This window comes from Homo sapiens, chromosome X (genome assembly GCF_000001405.40).
Source record: "Homo sapiens chromosome X, GRCh38.p14 Primary Assembly".
NCBI classification, from domain to species: Eukaryota; Metazoa; Chordata; class Mammalia; order Primates; family Hominidae; genus Homo; species Homo sapiens.
In genome coordinates, this window is record NC_000023.11 from 135002541 (window position 1) to 135019029 (window position 16489).

At 42.7% G+C, this 16489-nt stretch overlaps 3 annotated features.

Moving 5' to 3' along the window:
* Positions 1532–2042: an enhancer, noted in NCBI's record as "H3K27ac hESC enhancer chrX:134138102-134138612 (GRCh37/hg19 assembly coordinates)". NCBI's record gives its function as "activates a minimal SCP1, AML or CMV promoter by ChIP-STARR-seq in primed H9 embryonic stem cells {active_cell/tissue: H9 hESC(primed)}" and the evidence as "EXISTENCE:reporter gene assay evidence [ECO:0000049][PMID:30033119]".
* Positions 1565–1624: a silencer, noted in NCBI's record as "silent region_21017". NCBI's record gives its function as "represses an Ori minimal core promoter by ATAC-STARR-seq in GM12878 lymphoblastoid cells {active_cell/tissue: GM12878}" and the evidence as "EXISTENCE:reporter gene assay evidence [ECO:0000049][PMID:35858748]".
* Positions 2043–2551: an enhancer, noted in NCBI's record as "H3K27ac hESC enhancer chrX:134138613-134139121 (GRCh37/hg19 assembly coordinates)". NCBI's record gives its function as "activates a minimal SCP1, AML or CMV promoter by ChIP-STARR-seq in primed H9 embryonic stem cells {active_cell/tissue: H9 hESC(primed)}" and the evidence as "EXISTENCE:reporter gene assay evidence [ECO:0000049][PMID:30033119]".

Below are 16489 nucleotides of genomic sequence, written 5' to 3' on the forward strand. Positions count from 1 at the left end.
ACATGTACATATGTTCAACAAAAGATATTTACAAGAACTGGCCATTATCAAGAAAGTGAAGAATTAGATAGGCTAGTTAAGAGGCTATTAGAATAATCCAGGAGAGGTGTAAAGGTGTTTTGGACAGAGGTCATAACAGTGGAGGTGCCAGGAAGTGGTCAGATTCTGGTTGTATGTTGAAGGTAGACTTGAGTTAATGTGGGGCATGAAAGAAACAGAGGATTCAAGGATGACAGCAAGGCCTTTAGCTTGAGCAACAGAAAGGAAAGAGTTGCCATTTACCAAGATGGGGAAGACAGAGGAAGTGTAGACTTGGGAGATGAAAAATATAAGTCTTGATAAATCCATCATGATTATTAAATCATTCTATTTATTTAAAAAAGCAGGCTGGGTGCAGTGCCTCATGCCTGCAATCCCAGCACTTTGGGAGGCCAAGGCGGGAGGATCACCTGAGGTCAGGAGTTCAACACCAGCCTGGCGAACATGGCAAAACCTCGCCTCTACTAAAAATTAAAAAATTAGCCAGGCATGGTGGCATGTGCCTGTAATCCCAGCTACTTGGGAGGCTGAGACAGGAGGACTGACTGAACCTGGGAGGCAGAGGTTGCAGTGAGCCAAGATCGCGCCACTACACTCCAGCCTGCACAATAGAGCGAGACTCCATCTCAAAAAATAAAAAAGTAAACCGGTAACAGTGAAACTAAGCTTCTCTTAAATGTTCCAATATTATATGTATATATATGTAGTATGTAGTATGTATGTATATATGTAGTATGTATGTATATAAAAATTAGTAAGAGTTTTACTTAAAATCCTAACTCTAAACCCATGATTAAATTATGTATTTTAAATTCGAACCGCATCTTCTTTGGGCTGAGCTGTTTTGGGCATCCAAGGGGGGTTGACACACAGCAGTATCTCATAAAAACACATGATTCATGAAAGAAACAGAAGTGTCATTAAAACTGACTGCCCTAAGTAAATGGTGTATTATGTGCATATATGTGATTATGATGTTAAAGAAAGTAATGTAATGATCAGAGTGGCAATTCAATTTTGTGGTGTTGGTAAAACACTAAAAGCAAATGTTTCTGGTAAAATAATACAATCCCTCCTATTTTTATATTTTCAGCATCTCTGAAGATGTCCTATAATTATTTTCATTTAGTGTCCTAATATAGCAAATTAATAGATTTCTGAACATTTAACCCACCTTCTATTAACTGTTCATGGTGCATTACTCTTTGAATGTGCTGCTCTGGATGTTTGCTAATATTTGGGGCTTTCCTATTAATGTTTCAAAGTAACCACATCTGCGGCCAGGGAGCCAATAATCTGGCTGAGAGATGCATGAAGGAGGAAAATGTGTTCACAGAACCTCACTCCAGTGGCGTCCACAGCCGAGAGTCAGTAAAGGGACACGCTACAGCTGATGAGTTAGGTGAGGGGAGGAGTACGGTAGGAGGCCGCATCACCTTCCAGAACACGTGTCCTCTGCTCTCTTTGGGCAGCGGGCGCAATCTCCCCTCACACCGCAAACTGTCCTGGGATCTTCCCCCGCGCACCGCCCCTCGCCCGCGCCTGCCTTGGGAAATCTTGGCCCCACCTTTCTGATTCAGACCCCGCCTCCTGAAGAGAGTTAAGCCCTCCCCCACGTTCTCACAGCCGCGGCCCGGCCCCGTTCTGAGCTTGCGCACTAGTGACCATCGGGCTTTGGGGGCGGAGCCCGCGCAAGCACTCAGGCCACGCCCATGGCCAAGCCCACATTCCGCCCCATGGACAGGCCCACATTCCGCCCCATGGACACGCCTCCACAACCATGCATTTCCGGTGATGCTTAGAAATATAAAGATCGGAGTGGTAATGTAATTTTGTGACGTTGGTGAAAGACTAAAAGCAAATGGCAAAATCATACCCACTGACCTGAAATAGGGTCCAAATCGGGACAAAAAGGACATTTTTCTTTGCCTCCACCCTCTGACACAGCCTTTAGGAGGACAATGCCCTACGGCTGCCCCCAGCTGCCTAGAATCCACTCTACCCCAGACTACAGTGACAATTCTAAGCCCACCTGTCTTATGCAGAAACCGGGAGGCAGAAGGGGGCACACAACAGGAAGGGGAAGAAATGTTCTCTGAGGGAGAAACAGGTCCGTTTGGCACTTTCCACAGATGCACCCAACTCCGACTGGAATAACTGCTGCTTACTCCTCTGCTCATTGTGTCTTTGCAATTAAAAGAAAAAATTGAAGTAATTATCTCTGGTGAGTCACTTTCTGTATAGTTCACTTGTTATTCTCTCCTTTGTGCCATTATGAATTGACAAGTCCTTTGCAATAAGATAGAGAACAGTTTTGTAATAAAAAAGAACACAGTTGTTTAAAAAAAAACATGAAAACACAGGTTACAAAAAATGAAGCAATAAGGTAATGCACATAAATTAAGTCAAAGCAATGGAAAATAAATTGCAAACACAATAGAGTTATAAATATATATGGAAAAGAAGGACTAGATGACAATAAAACAAGATATAAACTGTTTCAGTTTATATGGTAAGAATAATGCTATTTTTTTCTAATAATCTCTGTTTTCAAATTTTCTTTAATGAATATCTGTGTACCAGCCCTTGTCCATTCTAGGGTGCTGTGGGGTTAAGATCAAACAAGGTATAGAATCACACATGCCTGGGTTTTAATCCTGCCTCAGCAAATTACTAACAGTATGTCCTTGAGCAAGTGACTTGACTTCTCTGAGACATACATATAGGGCCTGGCTGCCCAGATTACTATAAGCATGAAGAAAGATGATACAGACTAATGCTCAGCACAGGGTCTGTCAGAGGTAGTAACTGGGCTAATTGTAGCTATTACAATAGGGAACTTGATGGGTTTGTGATTTTGCTATTTATTTATTTTATTATATTACTAATCCTCAGTTAAAAATACATGTGAGAAGCATCCCCCAAATCTCACCAAATTTTTCTTTAGTTTCTTACCCTGTAGGTCCTATTTCTTCCTTGAGGGCATTTACCGCATCTTGCCCTCATATAATGTCTCTTTCCCCAGACATTGCCCCTCTCCATCCAGGCTCCTCATCGTCACTTACAGTTTCTCTGGGGAGTTAGGATGGCAGGGTGAACCAGCCTTATATACTCCCTAGTCTATGGATGGTGATAGCTCAGGGAACCTCCAGCAGCAGCAATTCCTGTCTCAGTGTGTCCCTGGCTTTCTGAGACAATGGTCATCTTAACTCACACATTCCCTTGTATAATGAAAAAATGAGGGAAGATGACATGTACTTGGCCAATGACCCTCCACTATCTGGGGGCCAGTGCAACTGGGCATCGAAAGCCTTATCTGGGCTGAGTGGCAGTGGCTCACACCTGTAATCTCAGCACTTTGGGAGGCTGAGGCAGGAGGATTGCTTGAGGCCAGGAGTTTGAGACCAGCCTGGGCAATATAGCAAGACCCCCCTCTCTACAAAAAAGAAAAAAATAAGCTGGGCGTGGTAGTGCATGCCTGTAGTTCCAGCTACTCGAGAGGCCGAGGCAAGACAATCGCTTGACCCCAGGAGTTGAAGGCTGCAGTGAGCTATTATTGTACCACTGCACTCCAGCCTGGGTAACAGAGCAAGATTCATTACTGGATGCCCATCACAAGCTTTCAAAGACTGTGTGTGGCCGCCATCGGCTGAGACAGTGCTAGAAGGGAATTTGGTTAATGGTAATAACTTGGACGTCACTGGCCATCTGCTCCCTAATCCTTCAGTCCCTTTCAAACTCCCCACTGCCCAGAACAACATTTCAGAGAATCTCTGGGAAGAGTGGCACACATATGGAGGCGTGGGCAACAGTAGCTGGCTGGGAGTGGTTCACAGCCTAATGTGAGACTCATTCTGTAACACAAGAGAGGGTAATAAAAGGCATATCAATCAAGTTTCAGCTGCAATTGGAGAAGTGATTTGAGCTTAGCATACTAGTAAAACCCTAACACAAGAGGTGAGACACTGCAGCTTGGGCCCCTCTAGACTGAATGGAAAGAATAGAGTTTCTGAAACCGGCTGTTTAAGATCACTATGAAATCCCAGGGAGAGAGCCATGCCCAACCACCCAGTGTAGCACATCTATAGGCAGGACAGACTGTTTGCAATGGTCTTGTTCTCCTTTTCTGTGGGGGCAGATTTTTTTTTCTTCTTGCTTTGATAGGAAAGGGTGGAGATTTTAATGATCACAACGATATGGTTATTTGATGAAGTGTTTAAATCAAGGTAAGCTGCACAGAGGGTAGGTAATTTTAGTTAACTGGGGATTTTATACAAGCAGTAGAAACTGTGCTGATATGTTTATTTTTTATTTTTTGAGACAGAGTCTTACTTTGTCGCCCAGGCTGGAGTGCAGTGGCGCTATCTTTGCTCACTGCAATCTCTGCCTCCTGAGTTCAAGCGATTCTCCTGCCTCAGCCTCCCGAGTAGCTGGGATTACAGGCACCCGCCACCACGCCCGGCTCATTTTTGTATTTTTAGTAGAGATGGGGTTTCACCCATGTTGGCCAGGCTGGTCTTGAACTCCTGACCTCAGGTGATCCACCCACCTTGGCCTCCCAAAGTGCTGGGATTACAGGCGTGAGCCATCGCGCCCAGCCTGATATGTTTAAAGAACAAACAATGCCAAAAAACTTCTACCCATTTAACTAACTTAATTCTGCTATTACAAAGCCTTTATAAGACCTAGTGGTGTGTTGTAATGAAAGATGCCTCAGACACAAAAGACCAAGATTCTAATGCAGGGTTTACCAGGAATTAACTGTGTGTCTTCTGCTTCCAGCTGTGGTCCTCATGACTTTTGCAACAATCTTCTGCTGACATACTGGTCATCTTGCCTTCTGTCTCACCCTTAGCAGTATCAGGATATTCCCCCAACACTCTCACAATCTCCAAATATGTGTTTGTGTCCTTCATGAAGTGGTCAAAAGGATCAGTTCTCCTAAGGAGGTATTAGATCACCTACTATCTTTAGGAGAATACTGCTCTAGACAAAGGGGAGAACTTCCATCATGGCCAGAAGACCTCACACTCTTGCCATGAAGCCCCTGTCCTCAATCTATCAGATTATAGAGTTCAGAGTTCTTCCCTGGTTCATGCAATGATGCACATGGCAGAGCCATACTAGCATTCATTGTGAATAATACAAATCTACAAGTGGAATCTTCTCAAACATTTTATTGGAAGAACACAAATATTTTATAAAATGCAAGAAACCAAAGTGACAAACACTTTGAAAACACAGAAATGAGGCCGATTGAGGTGAACTCAATGGCAGGACTTCTAAATTACATTATCTGTAGTGAAAAAGTATTAACGAGACTTAACAGGTTGTCACTCATTCTTCAGTCTAATTTCAAGAGCATGACTGGCTCAACTAGGGTGAGGTGAAAGGTACCAAACCAAGTAGCTATGGCCAGTCACATAGGAAACAGAAGGGTGTGGAAAGGTCTCAGAGAAAAGCTGCTTCCTGGACAGACCAATCAGCCTGAGACTGCTGCCTTCCACCCCAGTACATAGATACAGTACATACATGTTTTGACCCGTCCCCGTATGTAAAATATTTAAAACCATCTCTTGAGTAAGTACTAAAGCACATATCATGAACAATGAAAACAACCCAAAGTCCAAGCCAATCCCAAAGTCAATTCCTGTTTGTATGTATAAATAGCTGGTGTCATGGGGCCATTCCTTGAGACAAAGTCCTCCAGATGAAGTGCATGGCTTCTGTAGAACTGTTGGATTTGATGAAATTCAAAAACCTATGGACTAAACGTTAACCTTAAACACTGCCAATGTAAAATACTACATGTAAATTGAAGAATCAAGGCAAAAAATAATATGGAAGCAGTAATGGCATTACCCATTTCCCATGGAGAACCATTCTCCTTTCCTTGTGTTCTAAAATCTAAAAACATTTGGTGAGGAGAATTCATCTGTAATCATAAAAAGTTCTATGCTTACCTCTAACCCCAGGTTCCCAGATCCACCATTTCTGGACTTTGGAGAAGCACAGGTGCTTGTTTTCTGGCTTAAATTATATTCCACATCCTGTAGATCAGCATGTTGACTGCAGAACTAGTAGTCCAAGCTGACACTGGAGTGGAGTCTACAACAGGCCTTTCTAGCATTCTGTAAGGCATCATGTCTGACTGATGGGGAGACCGGGAAAATCCATGAATCCCACTAGGATTCACTGAATACAGCCCACTGCTATTCTTTTCTCAAATTAAGCAGCACTACACTAGGTTTGCATGTGAATACGAAGGTACAAAGAAAGCTCAGAAGACCAACACAAATCTAAACTGTTGGGTGGCCACCCTGGCAGCTGTCAGCAATCCATATACTGCATGACTGGAGTCAGCACAATGGGCTGAGAGGACAAACTCCAATCCAGAGGGATCTGGAGGAACTGATTCAAACTGTATGGGAGTGCATACATTTTGCACATTCTTTCATACCTTTTGGAGAGGCCCATGCACTAAATATCCAGAAGAGAGGAACTGGGTCCTCATCTACAGCCAAAAATTCTATCAGGCGGTAGATATAACAAGTCATACAAAGTAAATGTCTGTCTACTACAGGAAACCAAACCTCTGCTCATTTAGGACTCAAGGACAGGAGGATATGAGATAAATTGTACAGCCCCACTTGTCAACAGACCATTGACATCAACATGTCAATTTAAGCCATCTGTAAACAAGGCTAATGGTTTGATTCCTCACTCCAACTGGTTATAAAGAACCCTTCATAAAAACACTGGTATGGGTAAAAGCATGCACAGGCTAGAAAATGGGCAAGTGCTCATACTTATTATTTGTCCTTGAGGTCCTGTTTGCACAAGTCCCACATGAGGAACTTCTCTGCACATGCCTGGCTTGAGCAAGGACACAGGAGTCATCATTGTGAAGGGCAAATTGGGGGAACTGGTATCACATGGCAGCATGTTGAAAGGGCAAATACAAAGGAAAATAAGAAATAAAAGTTTAAATCTCCCTGGTGAAAAAAGAATAGACCTAACAATTCCCTTTTTTAAGAAGATTTACTTTGGAAAACTTGTAAATTCTTCCTCTGCTTCTTTGCAAAGCATGCAAATCTTTTTGAAAGCTAAGTAAGCCTCTTGCCAATTTTACAATCATGAATAAAAGGGGACAGGCAGCCAAAATAATTGGCAGGCATGAGAACAAGGTAAAGAGGAAACTTAAGCAGTTGAAACTAGAACCTCAGCTCAGCCCTCCTGAGAAACATAGAAGGAAATGCACATCACAGGCAGTGTCCAGAATGCCAATAAAGCTACAAGAGAACACCCTGGATTATTAACAAGATGAGGGTATACAGCCTATCAGTGAGGATACAACAGCATCAGCAAAAGTAACAGCAGTAACTTTGCAGAAGTCCTCCACATTATAGCACTATGTAACAATATAAGAGGGAGAAGCGCCACCTACCTCTGTGGCCATTTTTCACAGGCTTAAAGCAATACACAGAAGAAGGCTGAGGCAGCAACGCCTTCACCAACAGACAAGGCCACCACTCACTGGGAAAACGGAAAATAACAACCTGTCCCCATCATCCATGTGTGACGTTTGCCAGTGGGCACTATATGCACATATCACAGCCTTTGATGTGCATTGTTGTCCTGTGTCCTCCAGGTATGCTGCTCCAAAGGTACTGTGAGAAAGGGGAAAAAGGACAGAAGGCACTTCCCTGAATCCTAATGCCCATTGCAACGTTCACATCAAAGACCCTTGTCCTCTGAACTGTCTGTATTTTCCTCATGTGCAGGAGATTCTTGACATTCCTGCTTGAACTGTTAGGTAGACTGAAGTAGGGAAACCCGCTCCTCTTCTCAAATTGTGGAAAAGGATTGGCAGCAAAAATGTATGGCCTGCACAAGAACTAGGTAAAGAGAAAATAACTTAAGCAGTTGAAACCAGGATCTCAGCTCAGCCCTCCTGAGAAAGATAGAGGGAAATGTGTATCACAGGCAGTGCTCAAGACTTGCAAAAAAGCTATAGGAAAACACCCTGGATTATCACCAAGGTGAAGGCACATAGTGCGTCGCATCAGTATGGATACAACAAATCAGCAAAAGCAAGAGCAGTAACATTGCAGGAGTCCTCCACATTATAGTACTGTGTAACAATATAAGTGAGTGAAGGGTCACCTATCTCTGTGGCCATTTTTCACAGGCCTTTAGCAATACACAAAAGAAGGCTGATGCAGCAACGCCTTCACCAACAGACAAGCCCACCACTCAGTGGGAAATGGAAAATAAGAACCTGCCCCCATCATCCATGTGTGACGTTTGCCAGTAGACCATGTATGCTCATATCACATCAGTCGATATGCATTGTTGTCCTGTGTCCTCTAGCCATGCTGCTCCAAAGGTACTGTAAGGTCAGGGGATACGGGACAGGAGGCACTTCGCTGAACCCTAATGCCCTCTGCAACTTTCCCATCAAATACCCTTGTCTTCTGAACTGTCTGTATTTTCCTCATATGCAGGAGATTCTTGACATTCCTGCTTGACCTGTTAGGTAGCCTGAACTAGGGAAACCCCTGTGCCCTCCTCTTCTTACATTGTGGAAAAGGATTGGCTGCAAAAATGTATGGCCTGCATGAGAACTAGGTAAAGAGAAAATAACTTAAGCAGTTGAAACCAACATCTCAGCTTAGCCCTCCTGAGAAAGATAGCGGGAAATGCATATCACAGGCAGTGCTCAAGATTGCAATGAAGCTATGGGAAAACACCCTGGATTATCACCAAGATGAAGGCACACAGTGCATTGCATCGATGAGGATACAAAAGCATCAGCAAAAGCAACAGCAGTAACTTTTCAGAAGTCCTCCACATTATAGTATTATATTACAATATAATAGGGTGAATGGCCTCGTACGTCTGTAGCCATTTTTCAAAGGCCTAAAGCAATAAACAGAAGAAGGCTGAGGCACAACGCCTTCACCAGCAGACAAGCCCACCAGTCACCGGAAAAAGGGAAAATAAGAATCTGTCCCCATCATCCATTTCTGATGTTTGCCACTGGACCATGTATGTTCATGTCACATCGGTCGATATGCATTGTTGTCCTGTGTCCTCCAGCCATGTTGCTCCAAAGGTACTGTCAGGGAAGAGGAAAAGGGACAGGAGGCACTTCGCTGAACCCTAATGCCCACTGTAACTATCACATCAAAGTCCCTAGTCCTCTAAACTGTCTGTATTTTCCTCATATGCAGGAGATTCTTGACATGTCTGCTTGACCTGTTAGGTAGCCTGAAGCAGGGAAACCCTCTGCCCTCCCCTGCTCAAATTGTGGAAAAGGATTGACAGCAAAAATGTTTGGCCTGCATGAGAACTAAGTAAAGAGAAAATAACTTAAGCAGTTGAAACCAGCATCTCAGCTCAGCCCTCCTGAGAATGATAGCGGGAAATGCGTATCACAGGCAGTGCTCAAGACTTGAAATAAAGCTATTGGAGAACACCCTGGATTATGACCAAGATGAGGGCATACAGTGCATCCCATTCGTGTGGATACAACAGCATCAGCAAAAGCAACAGTAGTAACTTTGCAGAAGTTCTCCACATTATAGTACTATGTAACAGTATAATTGAGTGAAGGGTCACCTACCTCTGTGGCCATTTTTTACAGGCCTAAAGTAATACACAGAAGAAGGCTGAGGCAGCAATGCCTTCACCAACAGACAAGTCCACCACACACTGGGAAAATGGAAAATAACCTGTCCCCATCATTCATGCCTGACGTTTGCCAGTGGGCCATGTATGCTCGTATGACATCTGTGGATGTGCAATGTTGTCCTGTGTCCTCCAGTCATGGTACTCCAAATGTACTGTGAGGGAAGGGAAAAAGGGAATTGGGGGCACTTCCCTGAACCCTAGTGCCCACTGCAACTTTCATATCAAAGTCCCTAGTCCTTGAACTGTCTGTGTTTTCCTCATATGCAGCAGATTCTTGACATTCCTGCTTGACCTGTTAGGTAGCCTGAAGTAGAGAAACTTCTGTGCCCTCTTCTTTTCTAATTGTGGAAAAGGATTGGCGGCAAAAATGTATGACCTGCATGAGCACTAGGTAAAGAGAAAATAACTTAAGCAGTTGAAACGAGCATCTCAGCTCAGCCCTCTTGAGTAAGATAACGGGAAATGCGTATCACAGGTAGTGCTCACGACTTGCAATAAACCTATGGGAGAACACTCTGGATTATGACCAAGATGAGTGCCTACAGTGTATGGCATCAGTGAGGATACAACAGCATCAGCAAAAGTGACAGCAGTAACTTTGCAGAAGTCCATCACATTATTGAACTACGTGACCATATAGAAGCCCATCATTCACTGAGGATATGGAAAATAATGACCTGTCCCTTTCATCAATGTCTCAACTTTGCAATGGGCCATATATGCTCATAGGACATTTATCGATGTGCATTGTTTTCCTCTGTCATATTCTGGAGATTCCTTGCATTCCTGCTTGAATTCTTAGGTAGCCTGAAATACGGAAAGCAGTGTGCCCTCCCCTCCTCAAACTGTGGCTTCCCCTTATCCTGTAACAGCTGCAGTAGCTGGAGTACTATACAAGATGTATAAATCCCTCACGGTTGTGTCTGTAACACTCTCTGCTTGAAAGCACAGGCAAGGTCATTTTGAGACCATGTAATTTCCCCTCTGAGAGGACCAAATGGCAGATGGGTCAGATCACCAAGTGGCAACAGCTTATAAACAGGGAAACTGACACCTACAGCCTTGAGGTAGGTGCCATTTTCAGCATGAGGAATAGGAGAGATTAAGCTGCTAGCCTGGATACCTGACATGGGAGCTTCCTGAACACTCAGGCTCTTCTACAGATACCTATGAGGATCAAAATTTCACCAGCTTCATGTACTGGTCATTGACAGGAACCACATGACTTTTCTGTCCCCACCAATGTGCAGAGTATGATCAATGGAAGAGTGCAAGAAGCTAAAACAGAGAAATGCTTGAATAAACTTCAACTGCGTTCCTATTCACTGAATCAGGGGTCCTCATGATGCCTGACATGCCATTCCTCTTCACAGTGGAAACCATGCAGTTCAGCACATTAGTGTCTGAGCACAGAATCCTGACAGAAGGCCATCACCAGTTTCTTCTCTAGACCCCAAATTTCCCGTGCCCAGAATGCTGCCAATGCCAGTGTGTGTTTCCTGTATTACCTTGCACAGGCATTCGAACCATTGGAGCATGGAAGAAAAAAGTTACTGGGTCATATGTTAGAAGAACATATCAGCAACAGCATGTCACTTTCCTAATTCTCTGCTGGTGAACACAGCTCACTACAGATATGAAAGACTGTGTGCTCAACTCAACCAAGACTGACAGCTTCCCAGAAACACTCGCAGTTGCTTCTCAGATATCTCCCTCAGATTGCTCTACTAAGCTACAGTAAAAGAGGTATAGCTCACCTTTTCCTGAGCCATTTTTCACAGGCTAAGGGTATACACAGAAGCTAAGCCTTCACCAGTAGCCAAGTCTGGAATTCTCAAGGATAATGGAAAGTAAGGTTCTATCCCCATCATAAAAGTCCTGTCTTTGCCAAAAGGTATACTTCTCACGTTACACTCAACAATATGCTTTGTTGTGGTGCCAGGCATGGAGAAGGGAGTAGGAAACACTCCCTTGAATGCAGAGTGCCCAGGGCAACTTTCCCACCAGAGTCCCTTGGCCTCAACCTCTAGGAAGCAGCTCCACACAATGCCACTGCTTACAGCCCCTTTCCCACCTCTAGCCTGTAGGCCCCTGGTGAAGGGAAGATGTGTCACTCCATCTTTCCTGATCAGAGAAGCCCTTCCCCTTTTCTGAGCCTCTAACCTCTATAATTCTTGTTATTAAAACAACAGATAAAATGGCTGGGGATCCATGAAATCCATTTACTTCAAAACATATTGTCCCTTCTTTTCACAAGCATTTTTACCATCTGTTATCTCTACAACTGCAAAATCACCTTGTGTGTCCTCTGGACAATTATATTGACTGGAAAGTGAAGAGGAGATAGAGGTTGGGGTAACTAATGCTTTTTTCTAGCAACAAAAACATACTTTAAAAGGCTTCTTACAGCTTATGATAAATCCCACAGAATTCAAGGCCAGTTAAAACCTAGATCTGAGTCCCTCTCCACCAGCACTCACAATATTTTGGCTGTGATGCCATGTCAAGGTAAGTATATGTTCTGTAGTCATTAATGTTCTTTGAAAAACAGAGAAAATAGCAGTATTTAATACACATTTTTATAGGATTAGATAAGAAACTTCTCGGTTTTAGTAAGGATTTTATCAGTGGTAGCTTTGGCTGATTTGTTTTAGCATCATTACCACCACTCTCATCATCACCATCGCCATTATATCTTCCTTTCTAGTAGAATAAGATGTCTCTCAAAATGACCATTGTTGTCCCAGTTACACTACTGGATGCATTTAACAGGGAACTAGTATAACAAGGAATACAATCAGTTGCATTTTTCTCACTGGCTAATATCTCCCACTTGTGGCTGGCCCTTATGCTCCAAAATAACATGTTGGGCACTAAGAAGACTCAAGTTGGCATTTAAGTTAGGAGAGACAAGCCTTCAATTCCCAGGGATAAAAATGTCCCTTTCTCATGACTACAAAATAAAAAAAAAATTGTATCAAAGACTTTTTCAAATTTCTGAGTGTGAGAGCATAAATTTACTTGATAAAAATTAATGTCAAGAGTCCTAATTTTTTAAAAATGGGTATTGTCAAGGAACAGCCTAACTGGAAATGATCCAAAATGGTCACAGTGAGTGTAATTCTATGTAGACAGATTTTTAGTGAATTTGATTTCATTATATTCTCCTGAAATCTCTCTACTTTGTACATGAGCACGTATTATATCTGTAACCCAAAATGTCATTTTAAAAAAAGATAAAAATATCAGTCTTCATATTTGTTTTTCTGTTTGAGTGAATACTAGTGAAATAAATTGCCTCCTACATATATAACCCATAGACTTTCAGTCCAAAGCCTTGCTTTAAAGTGTCCATTATCATGCATTCCCTTTCCATGACATAAGAGGCCTCTTATTTCCATGAAATAAGAGGCGTGAAAAAACATGTTAAGGCAAATGTGAGTTTGACATGGAACACTTCACACGAAAATTTGTAGCACATTAACATTCCCATTAGTGAACAGTCATTCATTGACTACATGCCTGATGAGACTGCCTGTGCTGGCCTAGGAATGAACTCCTGGGAAGGATCTAAGGGGCAAGGTCCCACTTTAAATTCAGAGGAGGCCCACTTTCTTTTTCATCCAGCATCCTGATCCCTGAAACTGTCACCAGAGAGACACCTTTTTGGATCCCCCTACTTTATGAATGCTTCTAAAGTGCCAATAGAGCCAGGCATAATGGCTGATGCCTGTAATCCCAGACTTTTGGGAGGCTGAGGAAGGATTGTTTGAGCCCAGGAGTTTGGAGCCAGACTGGGCAACACAGCAAGACCCCATTTCCACAAACAATTTTTTTAAACCCCAAATTTTAAAATGCCAATAGTCAGTAGAATTACCAACTAAACCATCATTTAGGTTTTCCCCACAGTCTCTTCCACAACAGTGAAGTGACTTAAGATGACTGTGCCATTGCAGGGGCAGAGGGCACAACACACGCGTGTGTAACAGAGAGGAGTCACAGTCACCTTGTTTCACACCTACTTTTGACTAGGAAATAAGCCACTCTAGGTCACTATCACATTATTTGGTTAAGAAACATAGGTTTGGGGTAAAGCTTTTCTATGTATATCTCAGGTCTCAGTTTTTCATTGGGTGGCAAATAACAATGACCCTCATCATCCAAGGATTTAAAGTAACTTAACAAAATACAGGGATAAATCAGAAGAGTGTGAATGTCACTGTGTTGGATAAAGGCTAGACATTTTAGTGTCTATTCAAAAGGAAGTGTGGAATTTGACCTAAGGTGTGTGGCTTCAGGTTCTGTGATGCCACCTTCTGAATGAAAATTGTGTCAAGAGAAAGGTAGAGAAACCAAACGAGAAGTATCTACTGGGACTAAAGGTTAAAAGTCTCTTTGAGAACATTTGAGAAGAGTGCATATTTCCATCTAGCACTTTTCTTCTCTCTGTCAAATTGTCAAATGTCTTCACCTGAATTTCAATAAATTAATCACCACACCTAAAAGAAATTACTTTACATAGGCAAAGAAAGAGAAGAGACCTCTCTGGCACTGCTAGTCAACAGGCTCCCTCCAGGCTGCTCAGTTTACAGACGGTAGTGAGTCCTGATGGGTGCTGGGTGTTGAGCCCTGTCAGCCTCCATGTAAGGTGTCCGAGCTGGCCAGAACAGAATGTGGCTCAGAAAAAGGAAAAGCTTGGGGTCCTGGCTGCCTCTTACTTCACAGCAGGATTAATGAGGTATGGTTTCCAAGGAGATGCCTCAGTAATCCCTGAGGAAGCTTGCTGGCCCTGGGAAGGCAAACAAACATTTAAATGACATTATGGCAAAGTCAAACAGATTGGACAGGAGTGGGGAAGCAGTGATAGGAAGGGAGTGAAACCAAGCACCCTCATGTTCTCCAATATATGGATTTAGGAAGTAAGATACTAATTCCTTAACCATCTCTTGTGTGCTAGGCCCTTATCAAGGATGATCACACTTGATTCTACAATATCCCTGAAACCATGGTATGAATCCCATTGTGCATATGAGGAAACTGAGGCTCAAAGATGATAGTGAGAAAGGGCCATGGGACTTTCAGACTCAGATACTGGAAACTGGGAATGAGACATGATATGTGGTCCCAGCAATGTCCGCAAAGCAAAGAACTGGCCAACAGTGCCTGACTGGGTGAAGATTTGAAGGTGCATCAATGTATGTATTACTTTCATTGTTAGCCTATGCCTTCCTGGACTCCTGACAAGTAAATGTCCTCCCCTTCATGGTGCAGGTAGACTGGCAGAGTACCATTCTCCACCACCCACTTGGTCCACGAGTCCTATCTTTCCCCTTTTTTTACAGATAGACATGGCCTTAAATTACCTTCAGATCCATGTTTTTACACCAGACATAAGACACCTGAGTAGCACTCCCACAATCTTTTCATTCCTGGAGTTTATTTTTGACTGTCCAGTTCATCTTGCTGCTGACTGTTACTGCAAGAGTTCCAAAGAGGATCAAAAGATCAAAACTTTGATGGCACAATGTCAAGATCAGGTTTTTTTGAAATCAGCGTAATTCAAATAAATTAATTTGTCTGTAAGTGGCACCCACACTGAACAGAGAAATACAAATAATGACTAAAAAGAGATGCTACTCTCTAGCAGGGTCTCTACCATGGAGTTAATAATCAGTGTCCATGGACTGACCCTAACATTGTTGGTAGTTACTAGCTTAGAGATTCTGGAAACGGGTTTCAACACCATCATAAATGATGGTACACCTGACGGGAGACAGGTGGTGCCCTCCACCCAATACCTATCACTTCATACAAGATAAGGTTGCTCTTACTTGTCTGGCTGTTCTGGACAGTTTGTTCTGGCTCCACTGTATCCATGTTACAGGCTCACAGGCTGACCAGTCCTGGACATTCCCACCACAGGTCCTGAAGGAGATAGTGGCTGTATAAATCTACAAGGAGACTTGCCTATGGGTGGACAACCCAGCACCACTGTAAGTATGTACTTGGAAATTCATACGATAGGTGGCTGGGCTACTCATCCTCATTCCCTTATGTAGAAGTCCTTCTGAAAATACCTGATGGGGACTGAGTACTCAATCATGTATCCTGTGCCAGGTAGGCTGAAAGAGTGAAAGGTAACTTACACTGAGCCTCGGTGTAAGACTGAGACTGCATAAGGACAATTAACACTGCTTTTCAGAGGCCTGATTGCCCCTGCCAAAGGATACCATAGGTCTTCTTGCTTTAAGTAAACATCACAGGGAAATTATAAAATATTATGCCAAGACACAATACCCCCCTTTTTTTTTTGCTAGAAGGGGAGTTTCAGAGGAGTCCTTTTATGTTGTTATTCTTCAGTGACAAGGCAATTGATTTATGCAAAACTATGGGTAACAAATCTTTGGTTTTCCTCACTTTGTTACTGATTAGTGACACTCATACCGTGCAATATTATGCATAATAAATTTCCAAATGGATTTCAGCTGAGTATTCAGTATGTTACTGAATACTGGCACTGAAGACCATGAAATGCACATAATAGAACTGTACTTTTGGTGTGTTACTGTCAGTAATCAGTAACATAACTTAGAAAATTTCTTAAATTAAAATGAAGTTAACATCATTTAGAACAGTTTCATAAAGAATTCCTTATGCTAAGTAACGTTATTATCATCTGACATTGAACATAGTTTTTTTTTTTTTTTTTTTTTGGAGAAAACAATGGCAAAAATCGGACAGTTGGTAATACAAT